The sequence below is a fragment of the Homo sapiens genome, chromosome 6 (assembly GCF_000001405.40).
Source record: "Homo sapiens chromosome 6, GRCh38.p14 Primary Assembly".
Taxonomy (NCBI): Eukaryota; Metazoa; Chordata; class Mammalia; order Primates; family Hominidae; genus Homo; species Homo sapiens.
In genome coordinates, this window is record NC_000006.12 from 16,667,381 (window position 1) to 16,686,953 (window position 19,573).

General features: G+C 40.1%; 1 protein-coding gene across 3 annotated transcripts in view, besides 2 other annotated features; it reads right to left on the minus strand.

Annotated features, from left to right (window-relative positions):
• Window positions 1–19,573, minus strand: part of ATXN1 (ataxin 1) — a 462,349-nt gene that overhangs the window by 368,269 nt on the left and 74,507 nt on the right. The window lies entirely within an intron of this gene.
• Window positions 3,316–3,395: a silencer, noted in NCBI's record as "silent region_16958". NCBI's record gives its function as "represses an Ori minimal core promoter by ATAC-STARR-seq in GM12878 lymphoblastoid cells {active_cell/tissue: GM12878}" and the evidence as "EXISTENCE:reporter gene assay evidence [ECO:0000049][PMID:35858748]".
• Window positions 4,930–5,431: an enhancer, noted in NCBI's record as "H3K4me1 hESC enhancer chr6:16672541-16673042 (GRCh37/hg19 assembly coordinates)". NCBI's record gives its function as "activates a minimal SCP1, AML or CMV promoter by ChIP-STARR-seq in primed H9 embryonic stem cells {active_cell/tissue: H9 hESC(primed)}" and the evidence as "EXISTENCE:reporter gene assay evidence [ECO:0000049][PMID:30033119]".

Sequence of the window (19,573 nt, forward strand, 5' to 3'; positions counted from 1 at the left end):
TTGGCTCAGAGCCCATCCTAAAATATGTACGTGTCGGTAAGATTCTTTTGCCTCCCCAAAGCAGACCGGTTATCACATGGAAAAAGGAGTCTCACTCACAAGCCACACGCTGGATTCTGTGAGGTTAAAACTTTTGATTCTTAGAAGGACATGAGGATAGAGCACTGATGTTCTGTAAACAAAATGATGGTCTGTAAACAAAATTCAAGGTATCCTCAGCCCAGCCCGAATCCCCTGTTTATTCCTCTGAAAGCACATTTATGAAACAAGCTCTGCAAAAATGCCAGTCATCTCTAAGGCACCACAGTAAGGCAAGGAGCTATGTAGTGTTATCCTTTTGAAGTGCTTTCTAAACGCTTAACTCCCTTGGGTCAGTTGATTCACCATCCACCTCTGTCCCCTTTGCTTATTATTTCTCTCACCTCAGATGGCTTTCCTTCTGCTAACCCACAATCGTTAAAAACATACTGAACACTTTCTAGATTATTCTTAGTCATTTTTCAATGCCCGGCTCAAGACATTTGTCTTTCTATAACCACTGCAGCTCACTCTTTCCCCAAAGTGCCTCGGGCCAGGACTCCCATCAAGGTGGGCTTACCTATGTGCTCTCTGACCCCCTGTAATGTTGCCTCATTTGTGTGAGTCTCGGCTTTCGTAACTATTAATAGATGACAGATGTTCTTAAAACCTTCTAGAGAAATCTCTCAAGGCAGTGCACATAGTGCCAGATACAAAATATCATGCTTGCTCTCATTTTTCTCTAATTGAGTGAGGACTAAAGAACACTGGCATGTTTTTTTTGTTTTTGTTTTCTTATTTTTTTGTTTTTATTACTAAAGTTTTAGGGTACATGTGCACAATGTGCAGGTTTGTTACATATGTACACATGTGCCATGTTGGTGTGCTGCAACCATTAACTCGTCATTTAGCATTAGGTATATCTCCTAATGCTATCCCTCCCCCCTCCCCCAACCCCACAACAGGCCCCAGTGTGTGATGTTCCCCTTCCTGTGTCCATGGAACACAGGCATGTTTTTAACGTTGATTTTATTTTTAAACATCTTGCCTTTTGGTCTTGAGAGTCAAGATATTAGCCATGTAATTGAACCAGAAGCTTTAGATATTATTAAAGAGAACAGGAGTCTATAGAGTTCAGCCAAGGGTGCCCACTGAGAAGCTCCATGCTAGTTTATTTGTGACTTTCTCAGGGAAGAGAATTAGGTCTGTCCTACTGCAAACTGAAATAGAATAAAGTAGGATAGTATACTAACTCTTGGCAAAAAATTCTCAGCCATTCTTAATGACATCCATACCTCCAGTTCCATGCCCTGTTCAAGCATTTCGTATACCTCTGTTTTCAGTAGGAATGCCACAAACTGGTATGGAGCTTTTATTATTTTATTTTATTTTTTATTTTATTTTATTTTATTTACTTTATTTTATTTTGAGATAGGGGTCTATGTTGCCCAGTCTGGTCTTGAACTCCTGGCCTCAAGCAATCCTCCCACCTTGGCCTCCTGGGTAAGGATCTTTGTAATGAATATTATTATTTGGATGACAGACTGCAGGAAGCCCAGAATCCACCCCATTTTCTTGGCATCATAATTACTCTTTGAGAAATTGTGCTGTACACTTTGTATAAAATGAGAGCATGTAAATCAAGCAATAATAACAACAATCCTCCCATAGTATGTCAAACTCACGAGGCATTTCCTTCTCCTCCAAACCCTCCTTTCTCTCAGACAAACCAAGTAATTGAAGACATGTATTTTCAAGGAACATGGCTAAGAGCAGACTGTTTCTTTACCACATCAAACTTCTGTGCAGAAGTTAAGAAAGGAGAATCACTCTAATGCTTATTCCTAATGACTGTGATAGACTTTCTGCCTTGAATGGTGCATTTCCATTTGTAAGCTCCATTTATAGAATCACACAAGTTTTTGCCTTCCTCTGAAACCTAACACCCTGATCTTACCCTTTTTTGTATACATCACTCTTGGTGGAAATTTTCAACAACCACAAAGGTGGGGGAAAGGGCGTGGCGTACACTGACTCCTTAGTCATGTTTCCTGATGTTGCCATTTTAGTGTATTTTAAGTATTTACTTATGGCAACAATTATAGTTCACAAAGCACTGTTCTCTTTTTCCATCCGGCAGACCCCCTTGGTGTGCTCTACTACAAAAGGCAGTTTTCTGAATCACTGCTATTAATCAGTAAAGAATTGATGTCCCTATTTGGTGAATAGCAAACTGCTCCTATTGCTCTCTGAACTGAACTGAACAATCTTTTTTTTTTTTTTTTTTTTTTACTTTAAGTTCTGGGACAAATGTGCAGAACGTGCAGGTTTGTTACATAAGTATACATGTATCACGGTGGTTTGTTGTACCCTTCAACCCGTCATCTAGGTTTTAAGCCCCAAATGCATTAGGTATTTGTCCAAATGGAACTCAGCAGTCAGCAAAATATATTAAATTTGTCAGTTCTAGAATAACTCTTGTTGCCTACCTCCACATTCACATTGGTGATGTCTACTCCCTGTCCTCACTCCTGAGCACCTGTCACCTCAGACCACACCACTGAAGCTGACCACCCCATGACCCCCAACCAAGAAAGGGTAAGCCAACACAGAGAAGCCAGGGTGGGCGCTCAGAGAGACTCCTGGGTCTGGTCACTTCTGTGGGTCCACTAAGCCTGTTCCTGGTACCCCAATATCACTAAGTGGCCCAACTTAGAAATACTAGAATCAACTCCTCTGCCTTCCCCCTTATTCCACAGGTCAGCAGGGACCAAATCCTATCAATTCTATTTCCTGGTTATGCTACTTGAATCCTTCCCTTTCTGCCTCTCCAGCAAGTCTGGCTCTGCCGTCACTCACCCCTCGTGCCCTCTCACCCAGATGTCTGCCTGCTCTCATGGTTCTCCAATCACCTCTCCAGAATGCCACAAAAGCTGGCTCTAGAAAATACAGATCTGATCCTTGTACTCTCCAAACTGAAAACCATGGTGACTGCAGTATACTCTCCAAACTATCACTAAAGAGGAAGGGGGATGTGAAACATATACAGTACATTACTCTCTGCGATCTTCCTCTGTGCTATCAACAAGCAAGAAAAAAGAGATCTGGAGAAAACAGATGTGGAGGATACATGCAGAGGACCAAGAACCAAGATTTTATTCAGATTTCCTTCCGTTTTTACTTGGCTCATCTATATTTTGGGTCAGTTTTTTAGAACTCAATTTGACTTTTAATCATTAAAAATGATCCTAGAAGCATGTCCTGTGAGGCACTGCCAAGTCGCATTGATGCATTTCATTACTGCTTGAAAGGCCACATATTCAAAACACTACTAGAAGTCAGGCTAAAGAAAATAAAATGATTTTGGATATTTTTAAGCAGTTACTAAAACAGAAACAAATGTTATTTTTAATCTCTGGCTCACTGTAAACTGACAAGATATGAATATGAATTTTACCAAGTAATGTATAATAACTGCTTCTGCTCACCACAACCACATGCCAACAACTCAATTTTATATTTCATTTCGATGTTACATGTGGAACATATAATCTAGATTACAAACCATCCTCATTACAGTCCATTTACTCTAGCTAATTTTTGATAGCATGACATCATTAGCATAAAAAAGCTTAGTGAATAACTATTCTGAAATTTGCTTTTATAAAAGTCCTTGCAAAGTTTTACATTTCTAAACAAGTGAAAACCAATAGCTGAAAAATTGTAAGATGATGCCATAATTGTCCAAATGTTGCTCAGTTCACCAACAGGCTTACTGAGTAGGTTCTTTAGAAAGAAATTCTGCCAGGTAGTTTGTAATAAGAAGTATCTGCTATGGATCATGCCTTTACAAAGTTTACATTCCAGCAGGGAGGAAAGCATGTACACAATTGGCACTTTTCTTTTCTTTCTTTTTTTTTTTTTTTGCAGTAACGTAACAGAATAAGAGAAGTACAAAAGAGCTACAAAGTCTCAAAAGAGGAACCATTTTATGCAGGAGAGGGTATCAGGAAAGATTCTGGTAAGAAAGTGGGCCTCAGGAGCTAGGCAGATGGGAATTTTGAACTCTAAGTGTCTATTTCTGAAGTGAAACTAATCAATGTGTTTCTACAGTTAACATTTATTGAGCAACTACTATGTGTCACAAAGTTCATAAATGTTATCTCTAAGCTTCCAAACAAACATGGAATGACAGCCTGGTTACAAATGATTAAAAAGGGACTCACAGAGTCTATTAACATTCCCAAGAGTCATTAGTTCTTACTGAACATTAGTAAGCCAAAGGCATATTTATATCAACACAAGAGTTAATCACACAGAAAAGATGACAGTCTTAATTCGAACAATCAAGGGTCAAAATCATTATATATTTTGAATACGAATATGGTTGAATATGACAAGGATTTGAATACGTCAAAACACAAATCACATTCCCTGACATGTAACTGAAATGACAAGAATATCAAGAACTTAAGTACATGTTTATTCTAACCTCTAACATCAGTATTATGCAATGATTTCATTTTAAACTAAATGATTAAAATGTACCTTTGTTTTAAAATAGGTATTTGAGTTTCTACAGCAGTGTTTCTCCAAGTGTGAGCCAAGGACCTTTTATGTTAAATGAATCACAGGAGGGTGCTCGTTAAAAGTACAACTCCTGGGCCCCACCCCTGACCTATTTAACATACTTTAAGGCCCAGGAATCTGAATTTTCAACAGGACTAAGTTGTATATTCAAGTCCTAGGGCCTCTGGTCTAGAGTTTCCTCCCCACACCTTTCCCCCCAACACGTTTCCCTCTTGTTTACTCCCTTACTGAAATGTGTCTTTGCCAATTTAAACAATTACTTTTCAACATCCTCCAAATGTTTTCTGTGTCATACTGCATTAAAAGAAAAATTACTTCTAAACACTAAAATTATACCACAGGAAAAAAAAAGGCTTTTTTAAAAACCCATTTTTATAACACTTCTTTTGCTACATCTAGCTCAAGTCAGCAAAATGTGGCTCTAGTAAATGCCTTGGAGTCTGTGGTAGGCACAACAAGGGACCTTCAAACATACCCACGTCCTAATCCCCAGAATCAGTCTGTGAATTCGTGGTAAAAGCGATTTCACAGATGTGATGACATTAAGGATCTGGAGATGGGGAGATGATACAGGTGGGTCCAATGTAATCGCAAGGAAGTTTAAAAGTCTGAGAAGGAGGAAGAAGTGTCAGAGGAAGATTCAACTATGGAAACACAGCACAGAGAGATGCAACATTGATGGCTTTGAAGATAGGGGAAGGGGCCAGGAGCCAAGAAATACAATGGCATCTAGACAATGGAAAAAGGTGGGCCAGGCACGATGGTTCATGCCTGTGATCCCAGCACTCTGGGAGGCCGAGGCGGGTGGATCGCCTGAGGTCGAGAGTTCGAGACCAGCCTGGCCAACATGGAGAAACCCCACTCTAGTAAAAATATAAAATTTAGTTGGGTATGGTGCTGGGCTACTCCCAGCTACTTGGGAGGCTGAGGCAGGAGAATTGCTTGAACCTTGGAGACGGAGGTGGCACTGAGCCAATATGTGCCACTGCACTCCAGCCTGGGCGACAGAATGAGACTCCGTTCCCCCCCGCCAAAAAAAAAAAAAAAAGAAAAGAAAAGAAAGAAAACGGAAAAGGCAAGGATATGAATTATTCTCTAGAGTCCCTACAGAGAATGAGCCTGGCTGACACTTTGATTTCAGCCTGGTGAGACCTGTATTGGATTTCTGACCTGCAGAACTGTCAGATAAAAACAGTTGCTTTAAGCCACAAAGTTCCTGATAAGTTGTTACAGCAGCAATGAAAAACTAACACAGGTGCTTTGAAGAAACTCAGGTCACCTCTAACACAAAGGCCATGGCCCAGCCAGCCACCCACATACTTTCCGGCTTTACCAAACACATAAAGACAGAATCCCAAATATTAATTTGGCACAAATGGGATATGGCCCGGGTAGTTTATTTTCATGCAATGCTGCTACCTCTTTTCTCCGTTTCCTTCCTTATCCTGCTCTTCCCACTCACGCCTGCAGCTTACCTCCTCACCTTTGTCAAGGCAGGCTGATTTATCAGCTTGGAAACTATGAGAAGGAAAGGGTCTAAGGCAGGGTTTCTCAACTCCAGCACTATTAACATTTTGGGCCAGATGATCCTTGGTTGAGGCAGAGGACTGTTTGGTGCATTGTAGGATATGATATTGATTGATTGATTGATTTTTAAAAATCATTCATTCATTCATTCATTCAAGAGACCCCTGACTCTGCTGCCCAGGCTGGAGTGTAGTGACGCCATCACAGCTCACTGCAGCCTCAAACTCCTGAGCTCAGGCGATCCTCCTGCCTCGACCTCCTAAAGTGCTGGGATTACAGGTGTGAGCCAATGCCCCCAGCCCCATTGCAGGATGTTCAGCAGCATTTCTGGCCTCTACTCACTAGATGCCAGTATTGCTACCTTGTTTTCCCATTTGGGACGATCAAAAAGTGTCTCCAAACATTGCCAAATGTCCTGAGAGGGCAAAATGGTCCCCAGTTGAGATCCACTGGTTGACAGCATGTGGCAGTTAATGTGGTGGTCTGTGTTCTCTCCATCAGTTCCCTCCCATACATGGAAATGCTCTAACGTGTTTTATATATATATATATTCTTACATTGCTGCTGGTCTCATTCAAATGAGTCTCCCAAGGATTCAGTCTGTTTGACATTTTAAAACAGCTCAAACTCAGAATTCAACCACAGGACTTTTTTTTAAAATGGCCCCACTATACTTATTCCCAGCCACAGGCAAGGGAAACATGGCTTTTCCACAATGACCCGCAGCCCAACCTAGCCAACAAGCTCACAATTCATCCATACTGCTGCTACAGAGGCGACAGAGGTCAGCACTTGCTATTTGACTGTTACAGAGAACTTTCTTTTTTTTTTTTTTTTTTTTTTTTGAGACGGAGTCTCGCTCTGTTGCCAGGCTGGAGTGCAGTGGTGTGATCTCGGCTCACTGCAACACTGCAAGCTCCGCCTCATGGGTTCAAGCGATTCTCCTGCCTCAGCCTCCCAAGTAGCTGGGATTACAGGCGCCCACCACCACGCCCAGCTAATTTTTTTTTTTTTTGTATTTTTAGTAGAGACGGGGTTTCACTGTATTAGCTAGGCTGGTCTCAAACTCCTCACCTCATGATCTGCCCACCTTGGCCTCCGAAAATGCTGGGATTATAGGCTTGAGCCACCACGCCCTGCCTACAGAGAACTTCCTAAAGTTCACTGCAACTTTATTACCTAGATTTCATTAATAAAAATCCTTTCAATCAGAAGGTTTAGCACAGTGTAGACCAAAGAGATCATTCACTGAAAGGCTGGCTCTGATGGCAAAACAGATGGTTTGGAATGAGATCCTGGGAAATGGCCACTGTACTGGAGTAAGAAATCAATGCTCCTAGAGAAACAGATCATTTCCTCAGCAAGTTTTTGCCAAGAACATGACTTAAACAAACATGTGAAAAGATCCTGTTTTGTGTAGTTCTGAATTCTGCTCAGACTTTCAATTTCAAAATAACAAAGCAGTAAACTGGAAACATAGCCCCCATTCTTTCTGAAATCTTAAACAGACTGCAGCTTCCAAGGTTGGATGTGAAATTCAGAGGCACACAACTCTTTTGGTAGAAAGCTGCAGCCCAGCAGAGCTCTCTGAAGTCTAGGGGGAGGTGGGTGTCTGTGTTGTAGATTGGTGACTTTATAGAATGTGCTTCCAGGAATGTGAGCATACACACCCCTGGCAACTGAAAGTAACCAATGGCTTTTTAACAGATCCACTTTATTTCAACGTTTGGAGATTAACCCGCAATCAAATACTGCCGTATGAGTCCGTGCTAAGACTTCATCATTTCACATTTTCTGTCAAAAGCCTTTCTTCAATTGCACCATAGTCCCATAAAATCTGAAAATATCACATGACTGAGGATCTAAGAGCCAAGGTCCTGAATCACACAACATACTCATTAGGGAATCTTCTCCCTTTCCCCCTTTCAGATATTTTAAAATTAAAACGAAGGGTGGAGGGAATTTATATGTAATGATATTGGCCTGATGGCAGTCAACTTATGGCACACATGAAGGCGAAAGGAGCAGGGAAAGTTTTTTCAGGGAGAGGTGGAGATGGAGCCTACATATATTTAAAATTGGAGGCCAGGTGCGGTGGCTCACGCCTGTAATCCCAGCACTTTGGGAGGCTGAGGCTGGCGGATCATTTGAGGTCAGGAGTTCAAGACCAGTCTGACTGACATGGTGAAGCCCCATCTCTACTAAAAAAAATATATAAAAAAAATTAGCCAGGCATTGTGGTGCATACCTGTAGTCCCAGCGACTCGGGAGGCTGAGGCAGGAGAATCACTTGAACCTGGGAGGTGGAGGCTGCAGTGAGCCAAGATTGCACCACTGCACTCCAGCCTGGGTGACGGAGTGAGACTCTTTCTCAAAAAATAAATAAATAAATAAAAATAAAATAAAATTGTGATGCAAGACACTGCCAAAGGAGAAGCGGACAGGGTTATGGGGAAGGAACATACACATCATCATACATGTCTCCAATATAGAAAAATGCTGCATTCCCAAATGCTGCATTATGAATGAAAACATCAAGGCAGGTAACACCATGAAGCCTGTGTCTCTAATCTGGCTACCCAAATAAGGCTACTAATGCTCATCAACAGGGTAGTATTACATTGGTAAGTGTGAGTGAGTTTGCAATTCGATGAAAAAAATATATATACAACTGAAGATTTCTAAAAGATAATTCACTAACTTACATTCACCCTTTTACATGGCTAGTCAAGAAGAGCAAAAGAATGCTCTTACATGGACTGAGACTCAGGTTTTAAGACCCTGCCAGATTTAATAACCTCTAACTTTTTACCTTGAAAGTTACTGAAGTATATAACACAGTTGTATAAAATCAATGTACAAAGTAGTACATTATTTCAAAACCCACAATTAACAGCCTATGAAAACCAACTCTTTCTGGTATTAGCACTAGTTTCATACATCCTTTTAAATGTTAGGGACATTGAAACATCTTACTTCTTCATTACTGAGTGCCTACTTTGTGCTAGGCCCTGAGGATACACATGAGTAAAATATGGTCCTTGCACTCTCCATCTAGTTGTGGGGAAAATAAACAAACAATGGCAGAGTATGCCACGATTATGAAAGAGGAAAGCAGTCTGAGTGGTGGAATGGATTCTTCTTCCTATAAAAAGAATATAAAATTGGGTTTCCTATCCTGATTCCCAACTCACAAATTAAAGTTTCGGTTATGGACTGCTTGTTGTGATAAAATAATTTTAGTATGATTCCTTCTGGTTGGAAACATCTTCCTACCAGATTTAACTACAAAACTGACCTCTACTCTGGAATGTTCAACTGGCCAAGAAAAGTGTTACATCAACACCAATCACTTTTTTTTTTTCTATTCCATCACAAGATTGGGGATATCATTGTGTTCCTTTCCTCTTATGTCCACTGAACCCTCTGCTGTATTTTGTAGCCTTTCAGATCTAGGCGTTTGTCTCATTTTGCTGTTTCATTTTATTTTCACTTAACTAGTTAACACTTTTTTTAAAACAATGAATGAATCATGTCTGTAGTGGCCACTGCGAGCAAAGCACCATGGGAAATGTAAAAAGGAACAAGAGGTTGTCCTTGTCCTTAAAGATTTCCAACCTGAGTCAGGGAGACAAACATGTAAACAAACAATACGGTGTGAATCAAGGGGAATGTGGGTGAGCGCTGAGAGATGACGAGCAAAGAACTCTGCTGGCAGAGAGCTCCCAGCTGCAACACAGGCATTAATTACGTGTGCTCTGGGAGAGGGGAGTCTTCTATTTTTTGATTCCCCTCCCCAGAATCAGTGCTATTTGAAAATCCCACGTAGGTAAGAGGACAGGGAGGCATACAAAGCCTAGCCATGTTATTTTTACAAGTCAAATATGCTACTGCGTTTATCTAATACTTAGATAAAAATTATTTTTCAGGCCATTGCTTATTGAATTTTCTCTCTGTGTCCTCATCATTAGGTCAGGAGTGGTTTCCAGTAGGTGCTCCACAAAGAGCAAAAAGATGGGGATACAAAACTTGTATAGTAGAATTTTTTTTCCAAGTCCTATTTATCTCATCTGTTTTGCCTGTATCTTGCTTCATTCACACCAGAAAAAGCTGACACATTTGTGCCGTTGTCTGCTGAAGGTTAGTCTTCATGAAATTTAACATGAACATTTGTCCTTTCAAGCAGCTAATTCCTTTTTAAGCAGCTAAATGTTCACCTATGTCTTTCACGGGATGACTAATTGTGAATGTAAGCAAGACAACTGATGAAATTCAGATATAATTGTTTACAATTTTCTATTACTGCTCTTAATTCATTCTGTTTCTGTCAACTATCATACCCTATTTTCTATATTTACAGTGCACTTGAAATTGTTTATGCAACTTAAAAAAATTAAATGGTCATCTGAAAAGTGTTTGGTGCACTCGAATGAGATTTTTTTCTTGCAACTTTTATCAGGGGCTGTTTGCCTAAAAACTTGCTGCTCTAGCCAAAATGTTTTTAGCACAAAATTCTAGCAATAACCTCAGAGCTATCTTTTCTTTGCCACTTAATTTTACCAAGAGCAAAAAGAAGGGAAAAAAAAGTCTCTTCATTTTGCCATTGCATGGCAAAAATGCACATTAACTTAACTCTTCTATGGCAGAAATACAAATGAAATATGTCCAATGCCAATGTTTAAGTTACTTTTAGGATTTCCGTTGACTATCTTATTTTTTCATAATCTGACTTCTTGGATATCTATTTTAATTCTTTTGATTTTGAGAAAATGTACATGTTTGTACCAATTCTAAAGTCTCAGCCAACTATTCAATATTTTCAGCGATTTAGGTAAATCTTACTTCAAATTCTTACTAACAATGCCACATAGTATACCAATCATTATCATTTTTATTCTATCTTATATTAGAAGATGGCTTTTAAGCCAAAATGTTATTTTCTTACAGTTAGTTTGATATGCTATGCTCACAGAGAACCTGGCTGTCTTTTGGCTGGGATGTTCCCAGCTAAAAATGAGAAATCAGAGACAGAAAGCTGAGTAGGAACATAGGATGTGGAATTAAGATTGACCTTTATAGAATATTTTTATCATTCCTAAGAGATTGGAATATTCAGCATACTAATAATTTTCTGATTTAAATATAAGTAGACATCACCATATTAATTTCACCAAAAAAAATGTTTAAGTTAATTTATCAAAAGGAAGGCAGGGAAAGAGAAAAAGAAAGGAGTGAAGGGGCTGGGTGCGGTGGCTCACGCCTGTAATCCCAGCACTTTGGGAGGCCGAGGCGGGTGGATCACCTGAGGTCAGGAGTTCGAGACCAGCCTGACCAACATGGTGAAACCCCATCTCTACAAAAACATACAAAATTAGCTGGCTGTGGTGGAGCATGCCTATAATCCCAGCTACTTGGGAGGCTGAGGCAGTAGAATCGCTTGAACTCGAGAGACAGAGGTTGCGGTAAGCCGAGATCACGCCACTGCACCCCAGCCTGGGCAACAAGAGTGAAACTCCATCTCAAAAAAAAAAAAAGAAAGGAGTGATGGAAGAAAAGATGGATGGATGGATGAATAGATGGATGGATAGGTGGGAGGGTGGATGGATGGACAAATAGATAGATGGATGAATGGATGGGTGGATGGATGAATAGATGGATGGAAGGATAGATGAATGGATGGGTGGGTGGGTGGACGGATGGGTGGAAGGATGAATAGATGGATGGATGGGTGGGTGGATGGATGGATGGATGAGTTAGTGGGTGGATGGATGGATGGATGGATGGATGGATGGATGGATGGATATATGGGTGGGTGGATAGGTGGATGGGAGGATAGATAGATGGATAGGTGGGTGGGTGGATGGATGGATGGATGGATGGATGGATGGATGGATGGAAGAATACAAGGGAGGAAGGAAAAAAGGGAGAAAGGGGGGACAGAAGTAGGGAGGCAAAGAGAAGGGAAATATAGTGGAGTGAGTTTTTATGTGGGCGGTTAAGTTCAAAAGTTAAGCAAAAGTCATATATAGTCAAAATTAACTTTGAAAATCCTTTGGCTTTCCCACAAGACACTCCACACAGGATTTTATGTATACTGCACAATCCTTTACTGCACTTTTCATGTACACTGAAGTGTGATAACTATTGGGTTAGACTACAAGAAAGAACTCAATGGAAGAACACATGTAAAAGTCTGTACATTCAAACCATTCCTCTTTTAAAATTAAGTATTGTATCACTACAGTTAAACGGGGGGATTAGATAAAGATAAGTAAAATATTGGTGTTTTCCAGCAAGTATTACTTCATTCTGTTGTAATAGTAAGCTTCTTTAACTTTAATGAATATTAACAAATGTACTGTTGTTAAAGTTAAAGGAACTGTAGGATCTCCTATTGAGTTCATAATGTGGTAATATTAAGAGTAATTTTTAAAATAATTTCTTTTAAAGATAAATATTTAATGTGATTGCTATATTATCTGCCTTTTCAAAAAGTTAAAGCACATAGTCAAGTAAGTGTCAAAAATTTGCCAAGGCCCAATACACCTTTATTTTTCTTTCCTAGTTTTTCACTGTCTTGAAGTCTTTTACCCACAGTCTCCCATATTCAATACAGATAATAAATTCTATCAGAATGTGTAAAGTTCAAATAGGTATCAGAGGCTGCTGCCCTGCCTCTTTGCTCTGTACTCTTGTTTTTTTCTGGTGGGAGCAGAATTGGCCTGTGTAGAGGGTCAGGGGTAGACCCAGGCATCTTTGGGACACTGTAACTAATTATCACAACATTTGCTTTCAGAAGCCCCAGAAAGGCCCCCTACCCCCCAAACATGTCCTTCTGTTCCTTCCTTTTCTTTCTTTTCCTTCTCTAATCTACAGTGTGCTGAGTTCCAAAGCAAATTCTCATCCATTATACTTTTCAGCTTCTTTTTTGAAACATACATTCCTCCGGGAGGATTAACAAACTGAGATACTAACAAGCTGTGTGGTTCATTCATCAGACCCTTCAAGGGAAGAAGGACCCAGGGCAGCTCTGACACTGGGGCAGGGGTGAGGCATCACCCAAGAGAGAGCAAGGGGCAGGTTCCAGAAAACAAGGGAAACCAGTTACTGTCCTATGCTCCAACTGCCTAAACCTTAAAATGAAACAAATACAAGTAATGGGTGTTTTTCACTGTTATATACAAGGCAGCCTATTGGCCACATAATTCTTAAACAACCAGAAAAAAGCTGAAGTATGACCATCAATACGGGACATGGAACATGCCAAAAGATCGAAAGATTCTTTCTTCCCCCTCTTTAGGACTAAACAGCTGTGGGCATAAAGAAAAAATAAATTCCATTATTTTAGAAAGCATAATATTCCACCCTTCATTATTTCTTTGAGAATGGTTGGAATTATTACATCTACGAGAGGTTAGCCTCTATCGATTGAGTGATTTCATTAAAAAAATTAAACCAGTGATTGAGCTAAAATGAGTGGCCAAGCTACAAGACCAAAAATTGTGTGTGGTCAACAGGTGAGAGGAATGTGGAATATAGGAGCTACCTAATCAATTCCAAAGGAAGGGAGACATGATGATGATGATTGTTATTTCTCCCCACCAATGGGACAGTGCTCCAGTAGACCCCAGGATCTTCTATTTAATGGCTGTTGTAAGACTCTATCTCTGTTCCTCTTGGAAGAAAAGGTGCCACTGAGGACAAGGGAACAAGAATCTGTGTCAATCAACAATGCCCCTGAAGTAAACCAGGCAGGTCCGCACTGCACAGTCTCAGCTGTAATTCTATCCCAAGAAACCAGAGCACAGGACCAGAGCCACACTTAAGCCTGCAGTGTAGGGTGACGCCATGGGGCCACGTGACAGCCTGCCTCTCCAAAGCTGTTACTGTCAGTAGTATTTAGAGGAAAGGAAAAAAGTTGTAACAAGTGTAACACGAACATTAAGGAATACCAAGTCAGAGCCAATTAGGACGATAATTTGGCACTCCTGCCTCATGCATATGAAAAAGGATCCGCCATCAATGAGCAATAATGCATGGGATTTGTGGGAATGCTCTAACTTCAATACATCAAAGACGCTGCTGCACACCTCCGTCTTTTTTATTCCCATTAGCTCACCCTTGTCTGGATGAAAGAGCTCAGTGAATCAACTGCTTCTGTTGAACTGTTTATATATTTTTCAAGTCATGATTAGGCCATTAGTCACTGAGCATATTGCACAGTAAACTAGAGTAACTGCCATTATGCAACTTCCCAAGAACATACAGAGAGCATTTACAGTGAGGCCACAGTGCCAGCAAAATGTGCAATGGAGACTATTTATCAGCAATTATAAGAACTGTGCATTTAAATGCCAAATAAAATATACACGTGGCAGATACAGAACTTGAGGGGGAAAAGATGCATGATTAAAGTACCAATATTTGCTCTTCTGAATGTATTAGAGCCTGAAAACGAAAGTCCCCCTGAACCAGAAGCGAATCTTGAACTCAGTCTCAGTTAGCTTGGTTAGCCGCTGTTCTCCTTCCGAATGCCCCCATACCTGCCAACATCTGTATCTGAACACACTCAATGTTGGGTCCAACATAAGGAATTTCCCTTCTTCTTTCTTATTAAAGATTCCCAGGCCTCAGCATCACCCCCTACCCAAGCACTTGGATAATTCAGTAGAGGCCACTGGGGAGAACTTTTTTTTTTTGAGATGGAGTCTCACTCTGTCACCCAGGCTGGAGTGCAGTGATGCAATCTCAGCTCACTGCAACCTCCACCTCCCAGGTTCAAGTGATTCTCGTGCCTCAGCCTCCCAAGTAGCTGGGATTACAGGTGTGCACCACCACACCCAGCTAATTTTTGTATTTTTAGTAAAGATGCAGTTTCACCATGATGGCCAGGCTTGTCTCGAACTCCTGACCTCAGGTGATCTGTCCGCCTCGGCCTCCCAAAGTGCTGGGATTACAGGTGTGAGCCACCGCGCCTGGCCTCTCTGGGGTTTTCTGAAGCCACATAGACTTACATGTTTGAGGATTTCCCATTCAAAGTCCTAAAGAACACTAATAGAAGAAAAAGAAAGGAACATGTAAAAGTGGCATTTAATTTATCAGGACCCTTAGTCACATTCACATACATTGCCCATGATAAGCCAGTGACAAATATAATTGAAGTTTTAAAGTACATGTGCAAGGGATCAGCTACTTGAAACCTCCCAGCAGGAAAACAAGAAATAAGGGACCATGAGGAAGAGATCCAGGTCTCCACATTTACTGTACAAGTAATAACATAAGCAAGAGACTTCCTAAGAGTGTTTTATAGTATTTTACATGGCAAGACTCTTACTCTCCAGTCTGTTAATCCTCACTTTCCCGCTTCTATTCATATGCTTTATATGTATTTATTTGTTGAGTTATATATTTTAGCTGAACTTGGAATGACAGTTATTTTTAAGAGGCTACCAACATGGGTCAGGAAGAACCTCAGAAACCTGGCTCACAGTTGCTCTGGCATAAAAAGCCTTGACCGCCAAAACCAACCAGGGAGTTGATGAGATCTAGGTTTCCAAAACACCACGAAAAGGCATCTTTTGCTTTCTCCCATCTGGCCATTAAAAAAAAAAATAGTTATTTACCAAAGAAGATTCTTTTTGTAATACAATCAATCACTTCCTCCTGTGTTTAGGGTTCAAATCTAGAAGTCCATATGTCAGTCTAGCTTAGAGCAAAATGTAGCTTTCTTCACCTTGGACTAGAACAACCTATGAGAGAAAGATGGTGCCCAATGGGCCAGCACACAGCTGCTTTCTAAATTGACAGCCCTGAGCTTCTCCATGGACAGTGTTCCAAAACTAACTGTGGCTGTTAGGATAAAGAGGGCAGTTTCTCAGCTTCAGTGCCTTTAAGGTTATTTCAACTTTCCACCTCTGTTAACTACGCTGCAGAAACTTTTGACACTGAACTCTCCTTAATATCCATAAGCCAGAGATGTTCATTAGAAAAATTTCTCACTCCTCATCAGACAGCTGAAGACCTGAGTCCTTTGTCTTCCCCTATTCTGGAGATCACATTGAAGGGATTTTTGGGCTACCTGAAAGTGTTTATGACAGACAGACTCTTGGATTCAGGCTTAGGACAAGCAAACCTTTCATATGAGTCCTTAAAAACAGACAGTGCTCTGTTTGTAACTTTGAACTCCATTCTAGTACAAACATGCTTGGCAACTAGTGCCGGAGGGTTAACCAGAGAGTTTTCTTCCTGGCAAATTGCTCTGCCGCCACCATGGGTATTAACACTCCAGGATCCCTGCAACTTTCCCTTCTTCCTCTATTCCTCATCCCCTGCCCTGAGATATTATCTGTGCCCAAGCTGCAGGGGTTGAGGTCACACATCTGGTGCCAAGGAGCTGTCAGTGCCTCCAGCAGTGGCACAGTTCATGGTTCACGGTTCTTCTCCTGGCCCCTCCCTTGGTCTGGCATGCTGACAGAAAATTGTTCTTTTTTTCATCATTTGTCTGTGACTCAGAGGCAGACCATGGGGCCAACAAATCCAGCCCATGATCACGCTTGAAGGCACAGGGATATCTAGAAGTCATCCCCCAAACTTCAGGGACTATTGTCAAACCTTCTTGGGATACAGACATATTTCTCAGATCTCCTTTGGAAAGATCTTAGACTTGCTTGACAGGGGTCCTTGGAGATGATCAAATCCATAACCCTCCTCTCATTTTAAAGTTTTCTTTATTGGATTCTTTATGGGAGACCAAGTTCCTTATTGGATTGCTTCCTGTGGACCAAGGATGATGTTTTCTAGGGACTTATTGAAACTTGAGAGTCGGAAGTGGTCTGAAGGATTGTTTGATTTAGTGGTCCTGTGAACTGACATTGCCTAATAGCTGTTGTAACATAAAGATTCTCAGGTCTCAGCCCCACCCCTTACCCAAACCCTTGGCTAATTCCACAGAGGCCTGTCTCACTCTGTCGCCCAGGCTGGAGTGCAGTGGCTCTCCAGGGTTTTCTGAAGCCACATTTGAAAACCACTTATATAACCCAACTTCCTCATTTTCCTAAGGCTCAGAGAACTTCGGTTATTTGCCAAAGGCCGCACAACAGTTAATGACAGGCCTAAGACTTCCACCCAGTTCCCAGCGTGCTCAACCAGTGATGGTCTTTGCATTTACTTTCTGAGCATTTAGCGTTCAGTAAAACCTCAATCATTTACTCTCTGCTAATAGAGATAATGTATTCTTAATGAATATATAATTCAATTTCCTTGAATGTATTATATAACCTATAAAATTTTAGGATCTTATTAGCAAGTTAAATGTCTCCTTTCTTAAATTAGGGCTGGTTTTTTTTTTTTGAAGAATTAAGGATTCTTCATTAATTCGCCTTCATGTTCTAAGAGTGATAAGAGACTTCACGGGAAACAAATCAGAAGCACAAGTGAGTGAAATTTTCTTTAGGACAACGAAAGAAATGGTCAATGAACTAACATATTTGTTAACTTCTACAGACAACACACACACACACACATACGTACATGCACACACACATACACACACACCCTCCCACTTCTGGCTCCAGAAATTACTTGTTACTTACTATGTGGGAAGGAATTCAAATGCTTTCACTGTTATGTCAGGTCAATCTGTTAAGTGTATTGTAAATTTTTGCCACATCAGTATCCCACTTTGATCACTAATGCCATTTGTATATTAGCTTGTAATACACACTGATCATAAAGCAATAAAACTGCATTTTGCTAAACTTTAAAAATGAAGGCTTTTGCCCAATGACACTGACATCCTCACGCCACCACCTCCCCGCCCCCATTATTCAGAATAAGTGGAGTGTGGAGCATTGGGTTTTCCCTTTCTGGGGAGGAACAAATGAATGAGTAACTAGTGAGGGCATCTTAGGGAGTTCCCCCGCCCACAGACTATGAGGCATCTTGATTTGAAAGGAATACACAATATTGCTGCTGCACCCACACCACACGCACACAAAAACACTTTTAAAGTTGACTTCTTACATAAAAGCCAGCAGTACTCCCTGCTAGAATCTGAAGAAAAGAATATTATTATTACTATTATTATTTTACTGGCAAGGCCTTTCAGGGGGTTATGCTTCATTCAATTGAGCCTAATTGATAAAGCTAACACATGTTTACAGGTAATAAAAATGAAGTACTATCTACATGGAAACAAATCAGGGAGCAGAGGAACCAGTCATTATTCATTCTTTAAACTGTAAAAACTAAAATGTTCTCTAAGCATTATCAAGTCCTAAACAAAAATATAATTTCACAAAGCAAAGACATTCATTTTATCGTTCAATAAATTATTTTAAGAGCAGAAAGCACTGACTTTAGCTTTACTGGTATATTTATTTGTTATCTCTGTTCTTAAAAATGGAATATTTCCAGGGACAAAAAGTATAAGTAATACGTGATTAATATGGTTTCATATATTTTAAAAATATCTGACATTTAAAACAATATCTTAATACCGAATATTCTTAATGAAAAGTTCTGTTTTTTTTGAAAAGTCCTCCATACATACATGTCAATTCACAAAAATGCAAATTCTAAAAATTACTCAAAATGCATTGTCTTTTCGCTTCCTGATACTATATTTTGCAGTGCATGGTGGCAAAGGCAATAAGGTTTTTGGTAATACCTTGTTACACAGATTATTTATAGTCATCCCAAAACATACATAACACAGAGTCTTAAATTTTAAAACCATATCAGATACTAAAATATACAACTTATCCTTCCAGGTCTTTCCTAAAAGGTATACATACACTTCCGAAGTAGTATAAAAAAAAGAGGTCATTTCAAATCTGATAACGCACTGTGAATTAGTGAATTATCTTAACAACACTGTCCTAATTAAGACCAATAAGAAAGCCATCCATCCAATATTCCACGAGACAGCCAGGCTTCCCGTTGTGTAATTATTCACCTCATAGTGGTCCACCTTGAAGGCATGCAACACATTATGCCGAAAAGAGATATTTATATAGAAGGGAATTACTTAGGACATGCGGATGTCCCTAAAATAAAGATTCTTGACCACTCGAGCTACTCAGTATTTCTCTCTAGGCTAGAAACAGAAAAGATTAAATAACATATTCATATGGGAAGTCAATTTTTCCATCAATGAAAAGCAAGAAACCGTAAGAGCATTTCAAGGCAAGATCTTTTAAAGTCCTACAAATATTTAAGTATAACCTCTCTACACTTTTTAAAAATACAGTTTATTTAAAGATATAAGGAAAGTCCATCAAATAAACAAGAAATATTTACTGAGAACCTCCTTTGTGGCCAGGATTATGTTTCTATCTAAGTCCCATGAACTTGGAGCATATTTACAAAATTATTTAACTTTATAAAGTATTTCAATGAATAATGCAGTCTTCCAAAATGTGCATGGGGCTGTAATTCC